The sequence below is a fragment of the Homo sapiens genome, chromosome 1, assembly GCF_000001405.40.
Source record: "Homo sapiens chromosome 1, GRCh38.p14 Primary Assembly".
Lineage (NCBI taxonomy): Eukaryota > Metazoa > Chordata > Mammalia > Primates > Hominidae > Homo > Homo sapiens.
The window spans coordinates 173,576,957-173,598,171 of record NC_000001.11 but is presented as its reverse complement, the minus strand read 5'-3'; the positions used below and the strand labels follow the sequence as shown (position 1 = coordinate 173,598,171).

General features: G+C 36.3%; 1 protein-coding gene across 14 annotated transcripts in view; it reads left to right on the top strand.

Annotated features, from left to right (window-relative positions):
• SLC9C2 (solute carrier family 9 member C2 (putative)) overlaps nt 1-21,215 on the top strand; it is a 102,613-nt gene that overhangs the window by 4,901 nt on the left and 76,497 nt on the right. For 10 of the 14 annotated variants that reach the window (XM_017001074.2, XM_017001073.2, XM_017001071.2 and 7 more), the window contains 4 exons: nt 140-268; nt 10,342-10,507; nt 14,550-14,666; nt 16,164-16,325. In XM_017001074.2, coding sequence (XP_016856563.1) covers nt 218-268; nt 10,342-10,507; nt 14,550-14,666; nt 16,164-16,325 — 496 coding nt within the window. In that variant the 5' untranslated portion in view covers nt 140-217. Of the gene's footprint in view, nt 1-139; nt 269-10,341; nt 10,508-14,549; nt 14,667-16,163; nt 16,326-21,215 lie in introns of those variants that run through there. The other 4 variants (XM_047418170.1, XM_047418169.1, XM_017001072.3 and 1 more) reach the window with 2 other exon arrangements.

The following is a 21,215-nucleotide window of genomic DNA, read 5'->3' as shown; positions in this document are numbered from 1 at the left end:
AGGACTGCCCTTGTAGATACTCTCTCGTTAGCTGTAAACTGAAAGATTCTAAAATTTATATTGATTGACAGCATCAACCTAGTTTCTAATACTTGGAAATGGTAGCAAACTAATTTCTTGTTTGCCTTTGTTACTTTAGGTGCACCAAATTGTCTACCCTCTTCTAAGAACATCAAGTTTTTCACTTTATTCTTACTTTTCACCTTTAATTATATTTATGGTTGCTTTGGATGTAGAATTTTATACACTCAAGAAAATGTTTTGGCAGGTAAGAACACATTTAAAACAAAGTACGATCAATTCTTGCTTATGCACGTTGATAGAGAATATGGCTGCCTATATAGATGATTAATAATTCACAAAATGTCATATTTTATTTGTTTTGCCCTCTTCATTCTATAGAACTACTAACTAAAAAGAATTGAAGGGAGAGGAAAGGAATTAGTATTTGCTGAGTGACCATTGTGACTAGGCATTCTCAGTGCAAATATCAGAGTAAATAACATTTCCATTTTGCATATGAGCAAACTGAAGCTTAGAGGTCACAAACAAGGATAATAAATGTCAGAATCTGGATTCTAGTCCCACATCTGACTTAATCTCAACTGTTTCTGTAGATTTGCCCATTTTCCCTGCAAAGATTGTTACTTGTGCCTTCTATGTTTTTTTCTTAATCATGCCTGTTGTACTGTTTTATTTCTTTTTTCAGAGAACATTTTATTTTGGTTTTATTCTGTTCTTTCTAACATCTTGAATTAATATTTGATTCATTTTTAGCTTTTTTTAGTTTTCTGTGTGCATTTAAGGTTTTAAATTTTCTTTTTAGTGGTATCCCACATGTTTTGGTTTTTAGTGTACTCATCACCATCCAGTTCTACATTTTCTTATACTTTTTGACCCATTAGTTATTTACAAATTGTTTTGAATTTTCCAAATATGATGTTTTATTATTATTTCTCTTATCACACTGTGATCAGAGAACATGTTTTATATGTCAATTCTTTGATTTGTGAAGATTTGCTTTGTAGGCTTGTACATGTTTTTTTTTAAATGTTGTGCTATAAAAATATATGTTCTCTAATTATTGAGTGTAGGGGTCTAAATTTGTTCAGTAGATTGTTTTATTATGAAGTTCAATCTTCTATGTTTTTCCCAATATTATTTTTCAGTTCAGTTTAACAAGTTTCCACTATCACTGTGGATTTATGAATTTCTCCTTGCAATTATGTCAGTTTTTACTTTATACAAATAGAGGTTGTTATTAAGTGTCTACAAGTATTGCTATTTTTCTCAGTTAATTTTTTTCTTATTATTTAGTTACCTTTTATCCCAAATAATGCTTTTTGCCTTAAATCAATTTTATGTGTAAAATTGACTATAGTTACATCAGCTTTATTTTGGTATTTGCCTGCTATAATTTTTCCATCCTTTTGTTTTCAACATTTTGGTATCTTTTTAATAGTATACAGTTGGATTTTTTTTATTTTATACAGGTTGATAATTTCTGCTTCTTTTTAAAAACTAGTTTAGTCCATTAGTATTTATTGTAATTAAAAATAGATTTAGAAGAGAAAAGATTTGAACAGATTTGGGACACCAAGGAAGATATATGGATGGAATAAAAGCACTTGGAAAGACGCTCAACATCCTAAGTCATTAGAGAAATACACACTAAAACCACAATGAGATACCACTGTGTACCTATTGGAATAGCAACAACAAACCTGTTAATGCCAAGTGCTGGTGAAGATATGAAGACAATGAAACTTGCATACATTGTTGGTGAGAATGCAAAATGGTACAACCACTTTGGGAAACAGTTTGGGAGTTTCTTATAAAGTTAAATATATACTTGCCACATGACTCACCAATCTCACTCCTGTGTATTTACCCAAGAGACATGAAAACTTATGTTTACAAAACCTTTATATGAATCTGTATAGCAGCTTTATTTATAATCTCAAATGTCTGGAAACAAACATTCTTCCATTGGTGAATGAATAAACAAATCGTGGAACATCTTTCAATGAAATATTACTCAGCAATAAAAAAGGAATGGAGTATCGATAGGCACAACAAGGAAGAATTTAAAATGCATTGTGCTAAGAGAAATAAGCCAGCCTCCAAGGGGTACATACAAATTATAAAATTACATTCATAGACCTTCTAAAAATGGCAAAACTGTAGGTCTGGAGAACATCATTGGTTGCTAGGGAATGGTGTTGGGGAAAAGAATTGACCACAAAGATATAGCATGAGGAAATTTTTGGGAGTGATGTATCTGTTTTGTTTCTTAGTTGTGGTGTGATTACATAACTGTATGCATTTATCAAAACTCATATAACTGTACACCAAAAGAGTAGATTTTACTGTTTATAAATTGAAAATAAAGTTTTTAAAAGAAATATATTTTGACTTTTTCTCACATATTATTTCATCATTTTATTTACATGCTTTTTCTCATTCTTCCTTTTCTGAATTAATTGAATTCAGTTTTCTTTATCCCCTTTGTTCCTTCTACTAATTTAAAAATTTTATGTTCTATTTTTTGGTGGCAGGCATTTCTGGTTGCTTATCCAATATGCAGTCTCCCTCTCTTTCTCACTTACAGAAAGTTAAAATTTTTCGTTTGGTATGGCAATAGGCTTATGTAAAATATCATATTTCCAAGCATCCCTAACAACTTTGGTACCCTAAGAAGATAGTTTGGCCAATAAAAAGTGTACAAAAGTTTGCTGAATAGGCTTCTAGAAAGCCCTTAATAAGGGGGTCAAATCAGCTGGCATGTGCTTTTTGCTCTTTGCTTTACCTCTCTTTCTGCCTGGAGCCCTCCAGTGGGCTAGAATGAATATCCATCTTGAGATTGTGAAGTGGTGAACATGAGAACAGGCACTACATATGATTGAACATAAAGAGAAAAAAAGAGCCTGGGTCCTTAAGAGCATTGAGAGCCGACATACTAACATAAGGCAGTTTATTCTGGATTTAGGATTACTTGAGGTACAGTGGCTCATGCCTGTAATCTCAGCACTTTGGGAGGCCAAGGCAGGCAGATTACGAGGTCAGGTTTAGTAGAAACCCCATTTCTACTAAAAATACAAAAAATTAGCCAGGCATGGTGGCATGCACCTGTAATCCCAGCTACTCAGGAGGCTGAGGCAGCAGCATCACTTGAACCTGGGAGACAGAGGTTGCAGTGAGCAAAGATTGTGCCATTGCACTCCAGCCTGGGCAACAGAGCGAGACTCTGTCTCAAAAACAAAAACAAAAAACAAAACAACCAAAATCTCCATTTATTGACACTGTAAGTGCTCTTTTCTGTTAAATGCAGTCAAAATTTCTATATTCCTAAATACAATTCTTACTGGTTTCATACGTTTTAAAAATCTTAAATTTTAATAATTATATTTGATTTAACAAGTCTAAAGCTAAATATCTCTACTTTCCTCCAAATAAGGCAGGAACTTCAGAATGCTTTAATTATCCTTTCTCATCTTATATTTTATTACATTATTGACATAATACTACCATCCCTGAAATTAGTCATTATCATTATTATTGTGATTGTAATGTTTTAGGTACCAGTGCTTCTCTACACTCATCTACATGCTTATCAATTTCCATTTCTTTGCTCACTGCTCCTTCTTGCATCCAACTCCATCTTTCTGGATTCAGCTTCCTTTCTCCTGAATTTTTGCTCTAGCAGCTTTTTAAAAATTGTAATTTTAAATTGACTAATAATTGTACATAGTTATGGAATACATAGTGATCTTTCAATATATATAATGTATAATGATCAGATCAGGGTAATTAGCATATTTATCTTCTGAAACATTATTTCTTCATGTAGGGAACATTCAATGTCTTCCTTCTAGCTATGTGAAACTATATAGTATATTGCTGTTAACTATAGTCATCCTGCAGTGTTATAGAACACTAGAACTTACTCCTATCTAGCTGTGATTTTGTGTCCTTTTCATTAAAGGTCTATGAGTAGTCATCTTTTTTCATTTAGTGGTCTTTGTTTCTCTGAAAATGTATCTGTTTTGTCTCAATTTGAATAATACCTGAGCCTAATTGTTGCTTTTGAGACAACTGCTATCAATCTAATTGTCATTCTTCTGTAAGTACCTGTCTTTTCTCTCTTTTCAGATTGTCTCTTTTTCTTTGGTGTTCTGTACAGTAGTTACCTTTTATCCACCATTTCACTTTCCACAGTTTCAGTTATCCAAGGTTTCAGTTACTTGTGGTCAACTATGGTTTGAAAATATTAAATGTAGGTCTCTAAGAACTTGCTTTATGAATCTAGGTGCTCCTGTGTTGGGTACATATATATTTAGGATAGTTAGGTCTTCTTGTTGAATTGAACCCTTTACCATTATGTAATGCCCTTCTTTGTCTTTTTTGATCTTTGTTGGCTTAAAGTCTGTTTTGTCTAAAATTAGGGTAACAGCCCCTGCATTTTTCTGATTTCCATTTGCTTGGTAGATTTTCCTCCACTCCTTTATTTTGAGTCTATGGGTGTCATTCCATGTGAGATAGGTTTCTTGAAGACATCATACCATTGGGTCTTGCTTTTTAATCTAGCTTGTCACTCTGTGCCTTTTAAATAGGGCATTTAGTCCATTTACATTGAATGTTATTATTATTTTGAGACAGAGTCTCACTCTACTGCCCAGGCTAGAGTGCAGTGGCACAATCTCGTCTCACTGAAATCTCCACTTCCCAGGTTCAAGTGATTCTCCTGCCTCAGCCTCCTTAGTAGCTGGGATTACAGGAGCACACCACCACACCTGGCTAATTTTTGTATTTTTAGTAGAGATGGGGTTTTACCATGTTGGCCAGGCTGGTCTCAAACTCCTGACCTCATGATCCACTTGCCTCGGCCTCCCTAAGTGCTGGGATTACAGGCATAAGCCACCGCGCCAGGCCAAGGTTATTATTGATATGTGTGGATTTGATCCTGTCATTGTGTTGTTAGCTGTTTATTATGCTGACTTGTTTGTGAGGTTGCTTTATAGTATCACTGATCTGTGTACTTCAGTGTGTTTTTGTATATGCTGGTGACAGTCTTTCCTTTCCATATTTAGTGCTTCATTCAAGATCTCTTGTAAGGTGGGTCTGGTGGTAATGAACTCCCTCAGCATTTGCTTATCTGAAAAGGATCTTATTTTTCCTTTGCTTAGGAAGTTTAGTTTGGCTGGGTAGGAAATTCTTGGTTGAAGATTTTTTTCTTTAAGAATGTTGAACACAGGCTCCTGATCTCCACTGTCTTGTAGGGTTTGTGCTGAGAGGTCCACTGTTAGCCTGATGGCGTTTCCTTTGTAGATGAGGCATCCAAATAGGAAGAGAGGAAGTCAAACTATCCCTCTTTGCAGACAACATTATTCTATATCTAGAAAACCCCATAATCTCAGCCCCAAATCTCCTTCAGCTGATAAATAACTTCAGCAAAGTTGCAGGATAGGAAATCAATGTATGAAATCATTAGCATTGCAATACACCAAAAACAGCCAAGCTGAGAGCCAAATTAGGAATGCAATCTCATTCACGATTGACATAAAAGACTAAAATATCTAGAATACAGCTTACCAGGGAGGTGAAAGATCTCTACAATGAGAACTACAAAACACTGCTAAAAGTAATCAGAGAAGACACAAACAAATGGAAAAACATTCCATGCTCATGGATAGAAAGAATCAGTATCATTAAAATGGCTACCCAAAGCAATTTACCAATTCAGTGCTATTTCTATCAAACTGCCGAAGATGTTCTTCACAGAACTAGAAAAAAATTATTTTAAAATTCATGTGGAACCAAAAAAGACCCCAAATAGCTAAAGCAATCCTAAGCAAAAAGAACAAAGCTGGAGGCATCACATTATCCAACTTCAAACTGTACTACAGGACTACAGTAATCAAAACAGCATGGTACAAAAACAGACACATAGACCAATGGAACAGAATACAGAGCCCAAAAATAAGGCTGCACACCTAAAACCGTCTGATCTTCAACAAAGCTGATAAAAACAAACAATGGGTAAAGGACTCCCTAGTCAATGAATTGTGCTTGGATAGCTGGCTAGCTATATGCAGAAGGTTGAAATTGGACCCCTTTCTTACATCATATACAAAAATCAACTCAAGATGGATTAAAGATTTAAACATAAAACCTAAAACTATAAAAACCATGGAAGATAAGCTAGGAAATACCATTCTGGACATAGGAACAAGCAAATATTTCATAATGAAAGATGCCAAAGGCAACTGCAACAAAAGCAAAAATTAACAAATAGGATTTAATTAAACTTAAGGGCTTATGCACAGCAAAAGAAATTATCAACAGAGGAAACAGCCTATAGAATAGGATAAAATATTTGCAAACTATGCATGTGACAAAGGTCTAATATCTAGCATCTATAAGGAATTTAGACAAATTTACAAGAAAACAACTCCATTAAAAAGTGGGCAAAGGATAAAAACAGACACCCTTCAAAAGAAGACATACTTGCAGCCAACGAGCATATGAAAAAAAGCTCAACATCACTGATAATAGAGATATGCAAATCAAAACCACAATGAGATACTATCTCACACCAGTCAGAATGGCTGTTATTAAAAAGTCAAAAAATAATAGATACTGTCGAGGTTCCAGAGAAAAGGGAATACTTATACAATCTTGGTGGGAGTGTAAATTAGTTCAACCACTGTGGAAAGCAGTGTGGCAATTCCTCAAAGAGCTAAAAATAGAACTACCATTCAACCCAGCAATCCCATTACGGGATATATACCCAAAGGACTATAAATCATTCTGCCGTGAAGATACATGCACATGAATATTCATTGCAGCACTAGTCACAATAGCAAAGATATGGAATCAACTTAACGCCCATCAATGCCAGATTGTATAAAGAAAATGTACATATTTGCCATGGAATACTGTGCAGCCATAAAAAAGAATGAGATCATGTCTTTTGCGGGAACATGGATGGAGCTGGAGGCTATTATCCTTACCAAACTAAGGCAGTAACAGAAAACCAAATACTGCATGCTCTCACTTACAAGTGGAAGCTAAATGGTGAGAACTCATGGACACAAAGAGGGGAACAACAGACACTGGGGCCTACTTGAGGGTTCAGAAAAAATAACTATTGTATACTAGGCTTAGTACCTGGGTGATGAAAAAATCTGCACAACAAACCCCCATGACACAAGTTTACCTGTATAACAACCCTACACATGTACCCCAGAACCTAAAATAAAAGTATTTTTTTAAAAGAAAATATTAAATGAAAAATTCCAGAAAAATTCATGAGTTTTAAATTGTGTGCCTTTCTGAGTAGTGTGATAAAATCTTGTGCCATTTTACTCTGTCTTGCCCAGGAAGTGAATCATCCCTTTGGCCAGCATACCCACTGTGTATACATTATCTCCTGCCCGTTAGTCACTTAGTGGCCATCTCTGTTATCAGATAGAACATACAGTATCACAGTGCTTGTGTTCATATAACCCTTATTTTACTTTATAATAGCTCCAAAGTGCAAGAGTAGTGATGCTGTCATATGGTTACACTTGTTCTATTTTATTATTAGTTATTGTTGTTAATCTTTTACTGTGCCTAATTTATAAATTAAACATTATCATAGATATATATGTATTTTAAAAAACCATAGTATATATAGGGTTGGGTACTATCCGTGGTTTTAGGCATCCACTGGGGTCTTGGAGCATATCCCTTGCAGATAAAGGAGGACTATTTTAGTTTCACTGTGATGTTTCTGGGTGTTAGTATCTTTTTATTTATACATATTAAGACTTCTTATGGTTACTAAATCTGAGAATTAATATAGTTCATCAGTTCTAGCCACAATTTCGGCTATTATCTTTTAAATATTTTCTATACTCTGTTATTTCTTTTTTTTTTTTTTTTGAGATGGAGTCTCACTCTGTTGCCCAGGCTGGAGTGCCATGGCACAATCTCAGCTCACTGTGACCTCCGCTTCCTGGGTTCAAGCAATTCTCCTGCCTCAGCCTCCTGAGCAGCTAGGATTACAGGCATCCGCCACCACACCTGGCTAATTTTTGCATTTTTAGTAGAGACGGGGTTTCACCATGTTGGCCAGGCTGGTCTGGAACTCCTAACCTCAGAAGATCTGCTCGCCTGGGCCCCCCAGAGTGCTGGGATTGTAGGAGTGAGCCACGGTGCCAGGCCTTGTTATTTCATTCTTAAATTCCCATTAGTTGTAGATTTTCCATCATATTCTCCATGATTTTAAATTCTCTGTCTTTTATCTTTCAGTGCTGTATTGTATGTAATTTCCTCAAATTTAGCTTCCCATTTACTACTTTAACAATATGTAACCTACTGCTAGGCTTAATTGAATCATAAACATTTTTAACCTTTATTCTTTTCCAATATATGCATTTAATGTTATAAGTTTCCCTTTAAACACTGCTTTGATTGCATCCCTCTACTTTTGATGCCTTATTTTCTTTGTGATTCAGCAAAAATATTTAAAAATTCGGACAAAATGGGAAATTCCTAAAAATATGTAATTTGCCAAAACTTACACTAGAAATTCTTTTTATTTATTTATATATCTATTTTTTTTTGAGACAGAGTCTAGCTCTGTCACCCAGGATAGAGTACAGTGGCATGATTACCCCTTACTCCAGCCTCGACCTCCTGGGCTCAAGTGATCCTCCCATCTCAGCTTCTGGAATAGCTGGGGCTACAGGCACATGCCACCATGCCTGGCTAATTTTTTCTTATTTTTAGTAAAGGCAAGGTCTCGCTCTCTTGTCCAGGCTGCTTTCTAGGCTTCTGGCCTCAAGCGATCCTCCTGCCTCAATCTTCCAAAGTGTTGGGATTACAGGCATGAGCCACCGTGGCTGGCCTACTCTAGAATTTAAAAAGACCCAAATAGTCCCATAATCATTAAAAATTGAATTGGCAAATAAAAATGTTCCAAAAAAAATGAGACCCAAACTATTTTAAATGTAAGTTATGTGAACCAGTATGAAAGATAACTCCAATCTTATGTCTTACAGACAAGAGTAAAAGAGGAAATCCTCCCGCACTTATTTTATTTTTAGAGACAGGGTCTTTCTCTGTTGGCCAGGTTGGAGTGCAGTGGTAATATCATGGTTCATTGCAACCTCAAACTCCTGTGCTTAAGCAATCCTCCCACCTCAGTTTCCTGAGTAGCTGGTACTACAGGTGTGCACCACCATGCTCAGCTAATTTTTAATTTTTTTTTTTGTAGAGGTGGGAGTCTCACTATGTTTCCCAGGCTGGTCTTACACTACTGAACTCAAGATATCCTCCTGCCTTGCCTCCTAAAGTGCTGGGATTATGGGCATGAGCCACTGCACCTGGCCTCCTCCCTTACTTATTTTATAAGCCTTGTTTAATCTTAACACCAAAACTATACAGGAATATTAAGAGAAAGAAAAATCATAAGTCAATGTCACCCACAAACATAGAACAATTCCACACAAATTTTGGCACAAATATATCTAGTAACATATAAATAATAAAAACATGATCAAGTTGTGTTTATTTCAGAACAAGGTTAATTTAACATTTAAAAAATTGCTTAATGTAATTCATGCTCTTATGAGATTTAAGAAGAAAAACCATATGACGTTACAATAGATAAAGAAATAAAAGGACCTAATGGTCAAATTGTGAAAACCTCACAGAAAGTAAAACAAAAGACAGAGATGGAAAATAAGAAAAGGATTGAATAACACAACTATTTTTTTTCCTGAGGATGACTTTGAAAAATAAATACTTTCTTATACTTGGGCATAAACAATGTGTGCATAGAAATTACAAAACTCTGTAAATCACTTAATCTCAAGCATTTCATGGCCTTCCCTTTCTCTATTGCAGAACTACTTATTTTACAACTAATAAAAGGTAAAGGGGGGCATTTTCTGTGACTATTTTAGAGTCTTGGTATATAAATTTGTGTCATGTACCAGACACAATACGTCACTAACAATTTACTTTCCAAACTAATCAGGATATGTTTTATATAGAAGCAGGAGAAATTTGCATTCTGTTTAAGAACCTTTCATATTGAGAACCATTGAACTAGAATAACAACAAGAAAGATAGTTGAGTCAGTCTTTTTAATAATAAGGTAGAATCTTGCTTATTTGAAAGGGGCGGTTTCTTTGTGGCAGGTGGTTAAACTAGAATACCTTTTAAAGTTATCTTCCAGGGTAATTGTATAACATTTACAACCAAGATCTGACTCTTAGGATATAAGTAAATGCCATCATGCCATCTTTAGATGTTAAGTCTAATACTGTGTTATGAATTGGTTCACAGGTCTTGTTAACTGGATTAATTAGCTTTTCTACAGCAAGCATCATAATTGGATATGTCGTTATAAAATTCAATAAAGATTCATGGGATTTGCAATCTTGCCTACTCTTTAGCATCACCCTTGGCATTATAGATCCTCTTCGTTCTGTGAATTCACTAAAAACTATTGGTATGTCACATTTATTTCTCTCTCTTATCTTGAAAATATAAGGGTACATTATTTTCTTTTGATTATATTTTTCTTGCATGAATTGTGCACCCAGAAGAATAAGACTCTGTGCTTTTTTTTTCACCTTGAGAGGTAGAGCACTGATTGACTTTAAGGAGACAGTGCAAATAAGACAGCCACCAAGGAGATGAGATAAGTAGTGCCAATTATAATCTCCAAGGAAGTTTTTCATTTTTTTTCAAAGAAAAAGTAACCTTCTAGAAGGTGATAAAAATTGGCATTATTATTCTGTTCCAGTGAATTCTTAGCCACAAGGTAGATATTCTAAGTTGGTGAGTTTGTTTACCAATAAGGGGAAACATTAAAGATCCCTAAAGAGACTATTCCAAGGCCTTGCTACCTCTTGTTAGAACTGCCTCCATTTGGAATAGCTAAGGTTTGGCAGGTGGTGGAGGGGTTTATAGTTTATCTTCAAGAAAAGGGGTAAGGATATAGTTTGGCACTCAAATGTATTACTCAATAAAAGCTTATTCCCAAGAGGATTTGGAGTCCTGCACTATTTCCCATATTATTTGGTAAGGTGGAAGATGATTTCACTCTGAAATATCCCCCTATTGTCAGGTTTTTTTTTTCTTTGTTCCTTCTAAAAACAACAACAACAACAACAACAAAAATGGGATACACGTGCAGAATGTGCAGATTTGTTACATAGGTATATGTGTGCCATGGTAGTTTGCTGCACCTATTGACCTGTACTCTAAGCTCACTCCCCTCACCTCCACCCCCCAACAGGCCCCGGTGTGTGTTGCTTCCCTCCCTGTGTCCATATGTTCTCATTGTTCAACTCCCACTTATGAGTGAGAACATGTGGTGTTTGGTTTTCTGTTCCTGTGTTAGTTTGCTGAGAATGATGGCTTCAAGCTTCAGCCATGTCCCTGCAAAGGACATGATCTCATTCCTTTTTATGGCTGCATAGTGTTCCATGGTGTTTATGTACCACATTTTCTTTATCCAGTCTATCATGGATGGGCATTTGGGTTGGTTCCATGTCTTTGCTATTGTAAATAGTGCTGTAATAAACATACATGTGTATGTGTCTTTATAGTAGAATGATTTATATTCCTTTGGGTATATACCCAGTAATGGGATTGCTGGGTCAAACGGTCAGGTTTTATTAACACAGCAGTATCAACATGAATGGCTAGATGCTATGGTTTCTGTTTTTGACTCGGAAATATTTTCCTAACCAATTTTAAAGTATCAATTGTATTTAGTGGAAATATACTACCTTATGAGTGGAGTGAAAAACCTCCAACCTTTCCAGCTTGTGATATTCTTATTTTCATACTCCTAGCTGGGAAAACATAGAGTTTTAGGCACTTTTGGAGGTTCTGTTCTAAATTGTTACAAGGTAGATACATTTCTCAAAGACTCTGATCCTGTTCTCTTTTTTCTCTTTGCTCCCTTAAGTACAATTTTTTTCTGTCTTTCCTTACCTGTCTTATTCTTTCAACCATTTGTATTTACCTCTTGTTTCATTACCTCATTTTGCTTCCTGCTCTCCTTTCTGCACTCTCTTGACTGTAAATGGTTATAATAAACTATAAATGTTATTTATTGCAGTTTCAACATTCAATTTTTTTTCAAAAAAAGGAGTACAGTAGAAAGTCTTCTTTTTTTTTATTTTTTTATTTTTTGAGACGGAGTTTCGCTCTATACCCCAGGCTGGAGTGCAATGGCATGATCTTGGCTCATGGCAACCTCCACCCCCTGGGTTTAAGCGATTCTCCTGCCTCAGCCTCCCGAGTAGCTGGGATTACAGCCATGTGCTGCTACGCCTGGATAATTTTTGTATTTTTTAGTAGAGAGGGGGTTTTGCCATGTTGGCCAGGCTGATCTCGAACTCCTGACCTCAGATGATCCACCCACCTTGGCCTCCCAAAGTGCTGGGATTACAGGCATGAGCCACTGCACCCGGCTGAAAGTCTTCTATTGCTTTAAGACGAAACTAGTGAAGGTATTGGGTTGGCTCTTAATTTTTATATTTTTTTATGTCAATAACACTCAGGAGGTTAGATAGATTCTGGATCCAGTAGCATTGTCTCCTGATAAGACAAATTTGACTTATTTTTATGGGGAAAGTCACTCTCACTTGTTTTGGGTGTTGGCTGGGCCATCATATTGTCCCTTTGTGTGAATTAGATAAATGGTTCTTTCTTCAAAACAGTTTTCTTAAATAAAAGAAACTATTAAATAAAATAGTCATAATACATTATTTTTTTAAGCAAAAACTATTTTTTGCCAAATGCCTAAAATTATAATATACAGAACTACAATTTCTATAATGTTAATAGTGTTTCTTTTGATGAGGTGCCCATCTGCATTGTAAACCTGTACAACCTAAATCTAAAGTGGACTGGCCCAGTCAAAAGTGTAGTAGACGTTCATATGTAAGTTAAAAGGAAATTGTCTATCCATTACCTGTTTTAAAAGAGTGTAAGCGCTTAAATAACTTTTATTTTAAAGCAAATCTGGAAGAGGATCTTGTAAAGAAATAAAATATAGAGTGTTAGTATGATCTCAATTGAGTAAAAAGAACCATATGCTTAGAAAAGGACTTCAACTTTAAAATGGTTATATCTGGGTCATCATAGAATTATAGAAGATTTGTTTTATTCTTTTCTTTTCCAAATTTTACAATGAATATAATTCATTGTGGACTAATATAAATTAGGTCCACATTAAGCCAAAAGAGAAGGTGGAGAGAGCTTGAAGATGTAGCAATAGAAACTGTCTAAAATGAAACACAGAGAGAAGAGGACGAGAAAACATGAACTGAGCATCAGTGTGAGCTGTGGACAACTTCAAATGACCTAATGTATGAGTCCCCGAAAGAAAAGAGAGGGAGGAACAAAAAATTTGAAGAAATCCTGAGAAAAAGTTTCTAAATTTGATAATAATGAAAGCTACAGATTCAACAAGTTCAATAAACTGCAACCCAAGAAATATAAAGAAGACTACACAAAAGCACATAAAAAGCAAATTCCTTAAAACCAATTATAAAGAGAAAATTTTAAAAGCAGCCAGAGACAAAAGTCACATTGTATTTAGAGGAACAAAAATAATGACAACAGACTTAGAATTCTACACTCAGTGAAAATATCTTTTGAAAGAGAAGGTAAAATGAAGACTTTCTTAAACATACAAAAACTGAAAGAATTTATCATCAGCAGGCCTGCACTACAAAATTGTTAAAAGTCTTCTAGGCAGAAAGAAAATGATGTTAGATGGAAATTTGGCTGTGGAATTTTATCTACTCAAGCCTCTGGAAATCACAACCAATCTATTTTTGGTTTCTATGTATCTGTCTATCACGGACATTTCATGTAAATCAAATCATACAATATGTGGCTTTTGTGTCTGGCTTCTTTCACTTAGTATAATGTTTTCAAGGTTCAGGTTTTAATAGTATCAGTAAGTACTTCATTCATTTTTGTGGAGGAATAATACTTCATTTTAGGGATATATCACATATATTTATTCATTTATCAGCTGATAGACATTGAGTTGTTTCCACCTTTTAGCTCCTATGAATAATACTATTATGAATGTTTACGTACAAATCTTTGTGTGGACATACATTTTCAATTACCTTGGGTATATACCTAGGAGTAGAATTGCTGGGTCCTATTTTGTACTTATTTCTAAAATGAGGTTATTTTGGAATCTGATTCAGGTTTATTCAAACTAAATGTGGTATCTTGAGAAGTATTTGTCTCATTCTGAAACTCAAGTATGGTTGAGACAATGAACAATACAAGCAGTGCTATCGCCATGTTTCTTTGCCATTGCAAATGCAGGAGGCACAATATAGAAATTTAAAAATGGTGATTGTGATTGTCTTACAGACCCATCCCAGTCATAGTTGCCTTGTTCTTTCTCTTTTTTCTTTTTCTGTTCTTTCTCTTCTGTTTCTGCTTCCTGTGCAAGAACATTATTTTCATGTAGCATATTGAGTTACATTTTGTATTTCCTTTTTCAGGCATTTCTAAAATATACATTGATCTCATTAGAGGAGAATCATTGATCATTTGTAGCATCGCATCAATTTTTTTTGGAAATTTTCGGGGCAACAGAATCCACTTTTCTATTTTTAGAGGTAGGAGCATTTTTTGTCTGTATATTTTCTAAAATCATTCTCATTAAAATTAAAATACATTCAAATGTTTTAACTTTGCTGCCTTCTCTATACTTTACTTTTGGGCTGATTACAATGATATATGAAGTAACAAGAAAAAAATCATAGTTGACCATCTGCATCCACGGATTCAACCAACTGCAGATCAAAAATATTCAGAAAAACTCAATAAAAATAACAATACAACAATAAAAATGCAAATTAAAATGCAATACAGTATAGCTATTTACATAGAGTATTTGCATTGTATTAAGTATTAGAAGTAATCTAGAGATGATTTAAAGTACACAGAAGTATGTGCTGTAGGTTATATGCAAATAATATGCTATTTTATATCCAAGGTTTTGAGAATCTGCAGATTTTGGTATCCAAAGGGGTTCCTGGAACCAATGCCCCATGGATACCCGAAGGAGGACTGCATGTGTGTTCTTGGACATTAAGGGGGAAAGAACATTTAAAAAGTGCTTTAGTTTTTCTCAATATGCATAAATGCATGTGTGCACACATATAGTGTCACAATAGACACATATAGTGTCAGCTCGCTCAGAATTACTTCTTTACTGGATCAATCTGGATCTCAGTGACTGAGTGCTAAGAATTGGCTTGGTTCTGGATTTGGGTCTCAGAGTGAAAGCAGAACATTGTATGCAGGACTGGAGAATCCAGTCCTAGAAGTGACAAGAGCCAGATTCCTGCAGCTAAAGCCCACTGGGATATGAAGCTGTTGCCTTGCTAGGTTTCCAGATGTGTTACTAGTAGAAATGAAAAGGGGAAAAAATCACAGTATGAATGGAGAAAATGTGTTTTTCTGATATACTTTTGTGATAGTCACAAGAGGAGGAAGATACTAAAAGGAGAAATAAATATTAATGAATAAAGAGGGGTTTGCAGTGCTTCTCAATGAGGGAGCTACCGGGCATTGGGGTGGGACAATTTTTGTCATTTAGGACTACCCTGATAGCTACCCACTGACTGCCACTAGTGCCCCCAGTTATTGTGACTAATGAAAATTTCTTATCTTCATTTTCCAATGTCTCCTGGGCTGGGGGCAGGGGTCATAAACTAACTGCAGGTTAGCAGTGACCCTGGGCCTAGTTAGCTTGGTCTTGACATAGTTTATCTAAAAATTTTTAATTTAGATTTTTTTTGTTTAGACATTCACTCTAAACCCATTTGTCACAAGTTTTTCCCATTTATTCTCCTTGCCTTTCTCCTGAGGACATTTGAATCTTCTATCCCTAGATAAGCAAACCTTAAGCTGCGGACTGTAAGGGAAGGTTATTCTGAGAGAGGTTTTTTTACCAGACTTTCACAAGACACTCCTATTTGCTGACAAATAAGGTGTCCACTCAAAATCTCACAAGCAAACCAAAGTGCAAAGACCCAAATGCCATCAGTGAAAGAGACAAAAGTTATAGCTCAAGTTTTTATTTCTTATTTTTTCTTTCTTTTTTTTAGATTTACATGTAGGCATTGAACTCAGCTATGACATTTTGGGAAGCATAATATTTGGATATTGGTGTGCAAAAATCATTCAGTGTATATTGGCTGACGTTTTTAGCAATATGCTGACTAATATCATTCTCTGCTTTTCAATGGTGTACATGACTTTCTATATTGGTAAGGCTGAAATAAATACAAAAATTACTGTCCTTAAAGTAAGTTTTATACATGTTTATTTTTTCCTGATCTTGAATCCAGTTGCTTCTCCTCCTTTTTGTGGCCCCACTGTGTGTCCTGTCATATTATTTTACTTACCTCTAGCTCTTTCCTGGTCTTTCTTAATATCCTTTTTATTTCAACTCCATGTCCAATTTCCTTGCACTGTTCTCTGTGGTTACTCTCTTGTTCTTTTTGGACTCTTCATTTGACTTTGTATATAGTCACTGGCATTCCCCAGGCAGAGGAATCAACATTGAGCTCATTTCTGCTCTAACCCTCAGAACAAACCATCTGCAAACTGAGAAGGCTAGGAGAGATGCTCCTGAGGCTTTTCTAGATCAACAGCCTTTAATTCAATGGATGCCAAATTGAGAAGACTGTAGAAATGGCAGCTCTTACTTAGGCTAAGAGTCAGGAAGGGAGAGGTATATTTATTGTTGAAAGAGAAGCAGGAGAGTGAAATAATCACAGGAGTAAGAGTGCTCAGCACTGGCTGACCTTCAGCTAGTTTAGTCCAATGAAATGGAGATTTAAGTGTTTACTGGCCTGACTGAGGTGCCCGGTCCCTAAGAGACGTAGTAACTGTGGCCAAACTGTCAAATTCCACTTTTGCTCTCATCTCAGACAGTGAAGCAACTTCGGTTCTTCAAAGACCTCAGGTATCAAGAGGTTAATTACTTCTCTTTCACCTCCAGTTACCTAAAAGCGCTGCTTCTTCTGCAGATTAATTGCCACCTGAGGGTTTCTCACTGCCCTGAATCAGTAAAATTATAGAAAGCATTCATTGAACGCTCATTTCCTTCAAATTTCTTCATTTTTCCCCTCTCCTGTGCTGCTTTTTATAGATGCCTTAAATGTTTGAAGAAAAAAATTTAATTTAGTCTATTTTTCTACTAGACTGTGAGTTCCTTGAGGTGGAGGCTCTTAGTCATCTTTTTATTTGTTCTCTTTTCTATGTTTGGAGCTTGCCATATGCCTGATAGTAATTTAACACATGTTGGTTGAATAAACTGCTACTAGTCCTCGAAGAGCTTTGGAGTTAGGCAGACTTGAGTTCAAATCTCAGCTCTGCAATTTATTAGCTTGGTGACCCTGGAAAATTACTTAACCTCTCTACGGTTCACTTTCCTTATCTTTAAAAGTGGTATGATAGGCTGGGTGCAGTGGCTCACGCCTGTAATCCCAGCACTTTGGGAGGCTGAGGCAGGCGGATCACTTGAGGCCAGGAGTTTGAGACCAGCCTGGCCAATATAGTGAAACCCTGTCTCTACTAAAAGTTCAAAAAATTAGCCAGGTGTGCTGGCGCACGCCTGTAATTCCAGCCACTGGGGAGGCTAAGTCACAAGAATCCCTTGTACCCGGGAGGCAGAGGTTGCAGTGAGCCAAGATCATGCCATTGCACTTCAGCCTGGGCAACAGAGTGAGACTCTGCCTCAAAAAAAAAAAAAAGTGTTATATCACCTAATGTATTAAGGGTATTGCAGGCATTAATGAGATAATCTGTCATGTGACTCACTCCTGCTGGTGTGCTGATAGCTCTTGCTGGCTTGCCAGAGCTGATTATCCTCCTGTCTTTCAAACTCTGTTCAAGTGACATTATGTTGAGAGCTCGAAATTGGCCACAGTGAGTCTTTACACCATAGAAATTGGAAGACACTGCAACACTGCAACTCAGGGTTCCCTCTACCGCCCCAACCTTGAACTGGGTTTTAAAAAGCTTTTTTCCCTTACTGCCTGTATAATTGCAGAAAAGAGCCGGCTTTAAACATTTACCAGCACATCACTGGGCTCAAGGTAGGGCAGTCAATAAATATGAGTTCCTATTCCCTTTTCCTTCTAAAAAATGGAGATGCTTCCAGTCAATGTGTGGCATCATCTTAACCAGATGTGTATGAATTGAGGGCAGGCAGGTAGGATGGGGTTCCCTAGAGTCTTTTAGCATTATTGCCACATTAGAAGTCTCCCATTTCTGACATACAACTTTTCAAGTTGGAATAGGGTTGTTTGGTTAAGCAGTATGAATTCCTTATGCTCATTCAGGTATATAGCCAAAAAGCTGATCAATTCAGCTCAATCCCAATTCAATTCAAATCAAATGTTTACCAAAAATATATTTGAGCATTATGAAGTCTGATTATTTTGTGCTAACTAAACGGCATCATAAGACTTTGAAGCTGATTTCTGTGAAGGAGTATAAGTCGCATAGCTGTGGAGTAAAAGGTCCTTAAACAATTGAGACACTTGTGATTTAGATTTTAGGAGGTGGAGATCGCAGAGAACTGAGCCAGGACCTTGGTTCTAGTTTAAGCTTTACCCTCAGTTCCTTCACCTGTAAAATGGGGAGACTGAGTTAGGCAGTGATGGGATGGTAAATTGGCTCTCTGGGAAGAGAAAAAGCCCCGATTTGCAGTGCTTGTCAATTTTCATGGGATAAATACATCTACTGTGGCTGATTTCAAGGATGGCTTTCGTTAGCAACCTGCTCACAAAGTTACTAAAAAATTAACAACTTTCCTGAGCAGGTACCAGGTCTCTAAGAACCAGCCTTAAACAGAATGATGATTTTCTCTAGAAATTATGCCTTTGAGATTGTAGCTGTCACCAGCAGAGAGGAAATATCTGTATTTTGGTTGCATTTGTTCAGGTAAGACTTACTGCAGAGTGTGGATGAATGATAGAAGGTAGGAATTTAGCATTAACCCCTCAGGCTTAAATACATCCCAGAGTCAGCACTTGTGTGTGCTATATATACTGATTTCAACCAACAATTCTTTGTAGCTTCAAGGCAGCGCTGTGCCGCTGCTCAGAATGAAAGCTTGCTAGGTAGCCTCCTGTTTTAGGTTGAATTGTGTCCCCCCAAAAGACGTTGAAGTCCTACATTCCAGTACCTGTAAAGGTGACTTTATTTAGAAAGAGGACCTTTGTAGATGACCAAGTTAAGATGCAGTCATTAGGGTGGGTCCTAATCCAGTATGACTGTATCCTTATAAAAAGGGGAAATTTGGACACAGCGACAGATACACATAGAGGGAAGATTATGTGAAGACACAGAGAGAATACCAGCTATAAGCCAAGGAATGCCTGAAACTACCAGAAGCTAGGAGAGAGGCCTGGGACAGAATCTCCATCACAGCCCTCAGAAGGAACTAACCCTGCTGATCTTAGACTTCTAGCTCCAGAACTGTGAGACAATACATTTCTGTGGTTTAAGCCCCCCAGTTTGTGCTATTCAATTATGGCAGTCCCAGGAAACCAATACACCTCCCTCCTTTGTTACACTTTCCTCTGCTTCAGGAATTAAAAAACAACCTCAGGCAGTCCTTTACTCATACTTAGTAAGTTCCTGAAAGCAAACTCAGAAAAAGGCAGTGTTATAAGGAGATGTTCCATAGCCGGAAAGCGAAAATGCAGATAAAATTCTCACTTATACATTCTTTAATATTACATTTCTTTCATGTTGTTTAATTTTGTTCTTTTCCCTGACTAATGAACATACCATCAATTGGCTTAAGTCCAAAAAGCATCTGATTGAGGTTGGAGAGTCACCTCTTTGAGTGTTGATGTATAATTCATGAAAGAACATGGGTTCTAGAAAAGTGTAGGCTACAGGCATTCCAAGAGGGACTCCTCCATCCTAGCAAGGAGGGATATTTTATCAAGTGACAGTGTTTAGAATTTTGGGGGAATGGAGATAATAAAAAGTAGAAGGAGTTTTTGTCATCTTTATAATTGTTTTAAAAGTCTACAAACAATGCATCCCCTTGTTGCCTGTAACTGGGGCTTATCACTTCCACTGTCCCTTCTTTATAAAATACCAATTATAGAGAATTGGAAATTGAAAGATAGTTTCCCTGTCATCACAGTTTGCGGCACTCCTGGTTTTATTGTCATTGGTTATTTAAAGTAAATTCAGTTAAATAAGTAGATAAAAAGAAGTCTAAAGTGAACTTAAGGGATTAGATAAACCAAAAGAATAGTAAACTCCTCTTTAAATTAATAAACTATTAATTTACTAAGCAACAAAGTAGATAAAAACAATTAACAGCATGATAGTATTATCACTTATTCATTGCTTTAAAAGTGTGGCAAGCATTTTCATGTTTTCTAATTTAATTTTCACAACTGTATGAGTCATAACTATTTTACACCTATTTTATAGTTACGGGGCCACTAATGGAGGAAGGTGAGGTCACATTCCAAAAGCAACCAGCTCTGCTTTCCCCCAAAGCTCTTCCAATCCTATCTTTCATGTTCTTTGTCTTCCTTTCTGTCTGACGGTTTTAATGTGCTATTTGAAGACTCTGCAGCCTAAGACTGCAGAGTATTTATGGTATTCAAATATCCTTCAGGTTGGTTTTCCTGCCTCAGACTATTAATACATTTACACATTTGTTTAGAGCCCAACAAATTACAAGTTTAATTAGGGAGGTCTATAGCTGCAAAAGAAAAGCAGGTGTAAGGAACTGGAGTCATCAGAAGCACTGAGCTTGGCTCACAACTCTCAGCACATGCAGTGCAGTATTTCTGAGATGCTTAAAGGACACCTTGAGGGCTGTTGAACTTATTTTCCATTAGCCCTATCCTCAGTGATGGTCTCCAGCAGGACTTGGCAAACTGCGACTCTTGGGCCAAATCTGCCTGTTAGCTAAAAATGGTTTTTACATTTTAAAATGGCACAAAAGAAGAATATTTTGTGGCATATGAAAATTATGTGAAATTCAGACTTCAGTGTCTATAAACCAAGTTTTACTGGACACATCCATTTACATATTATCTATGGCTGCTTTTATACTACAACAGCTGAGTTGAACCATTGTAACAGAGGCTGTATGCATCACAAACACTAAA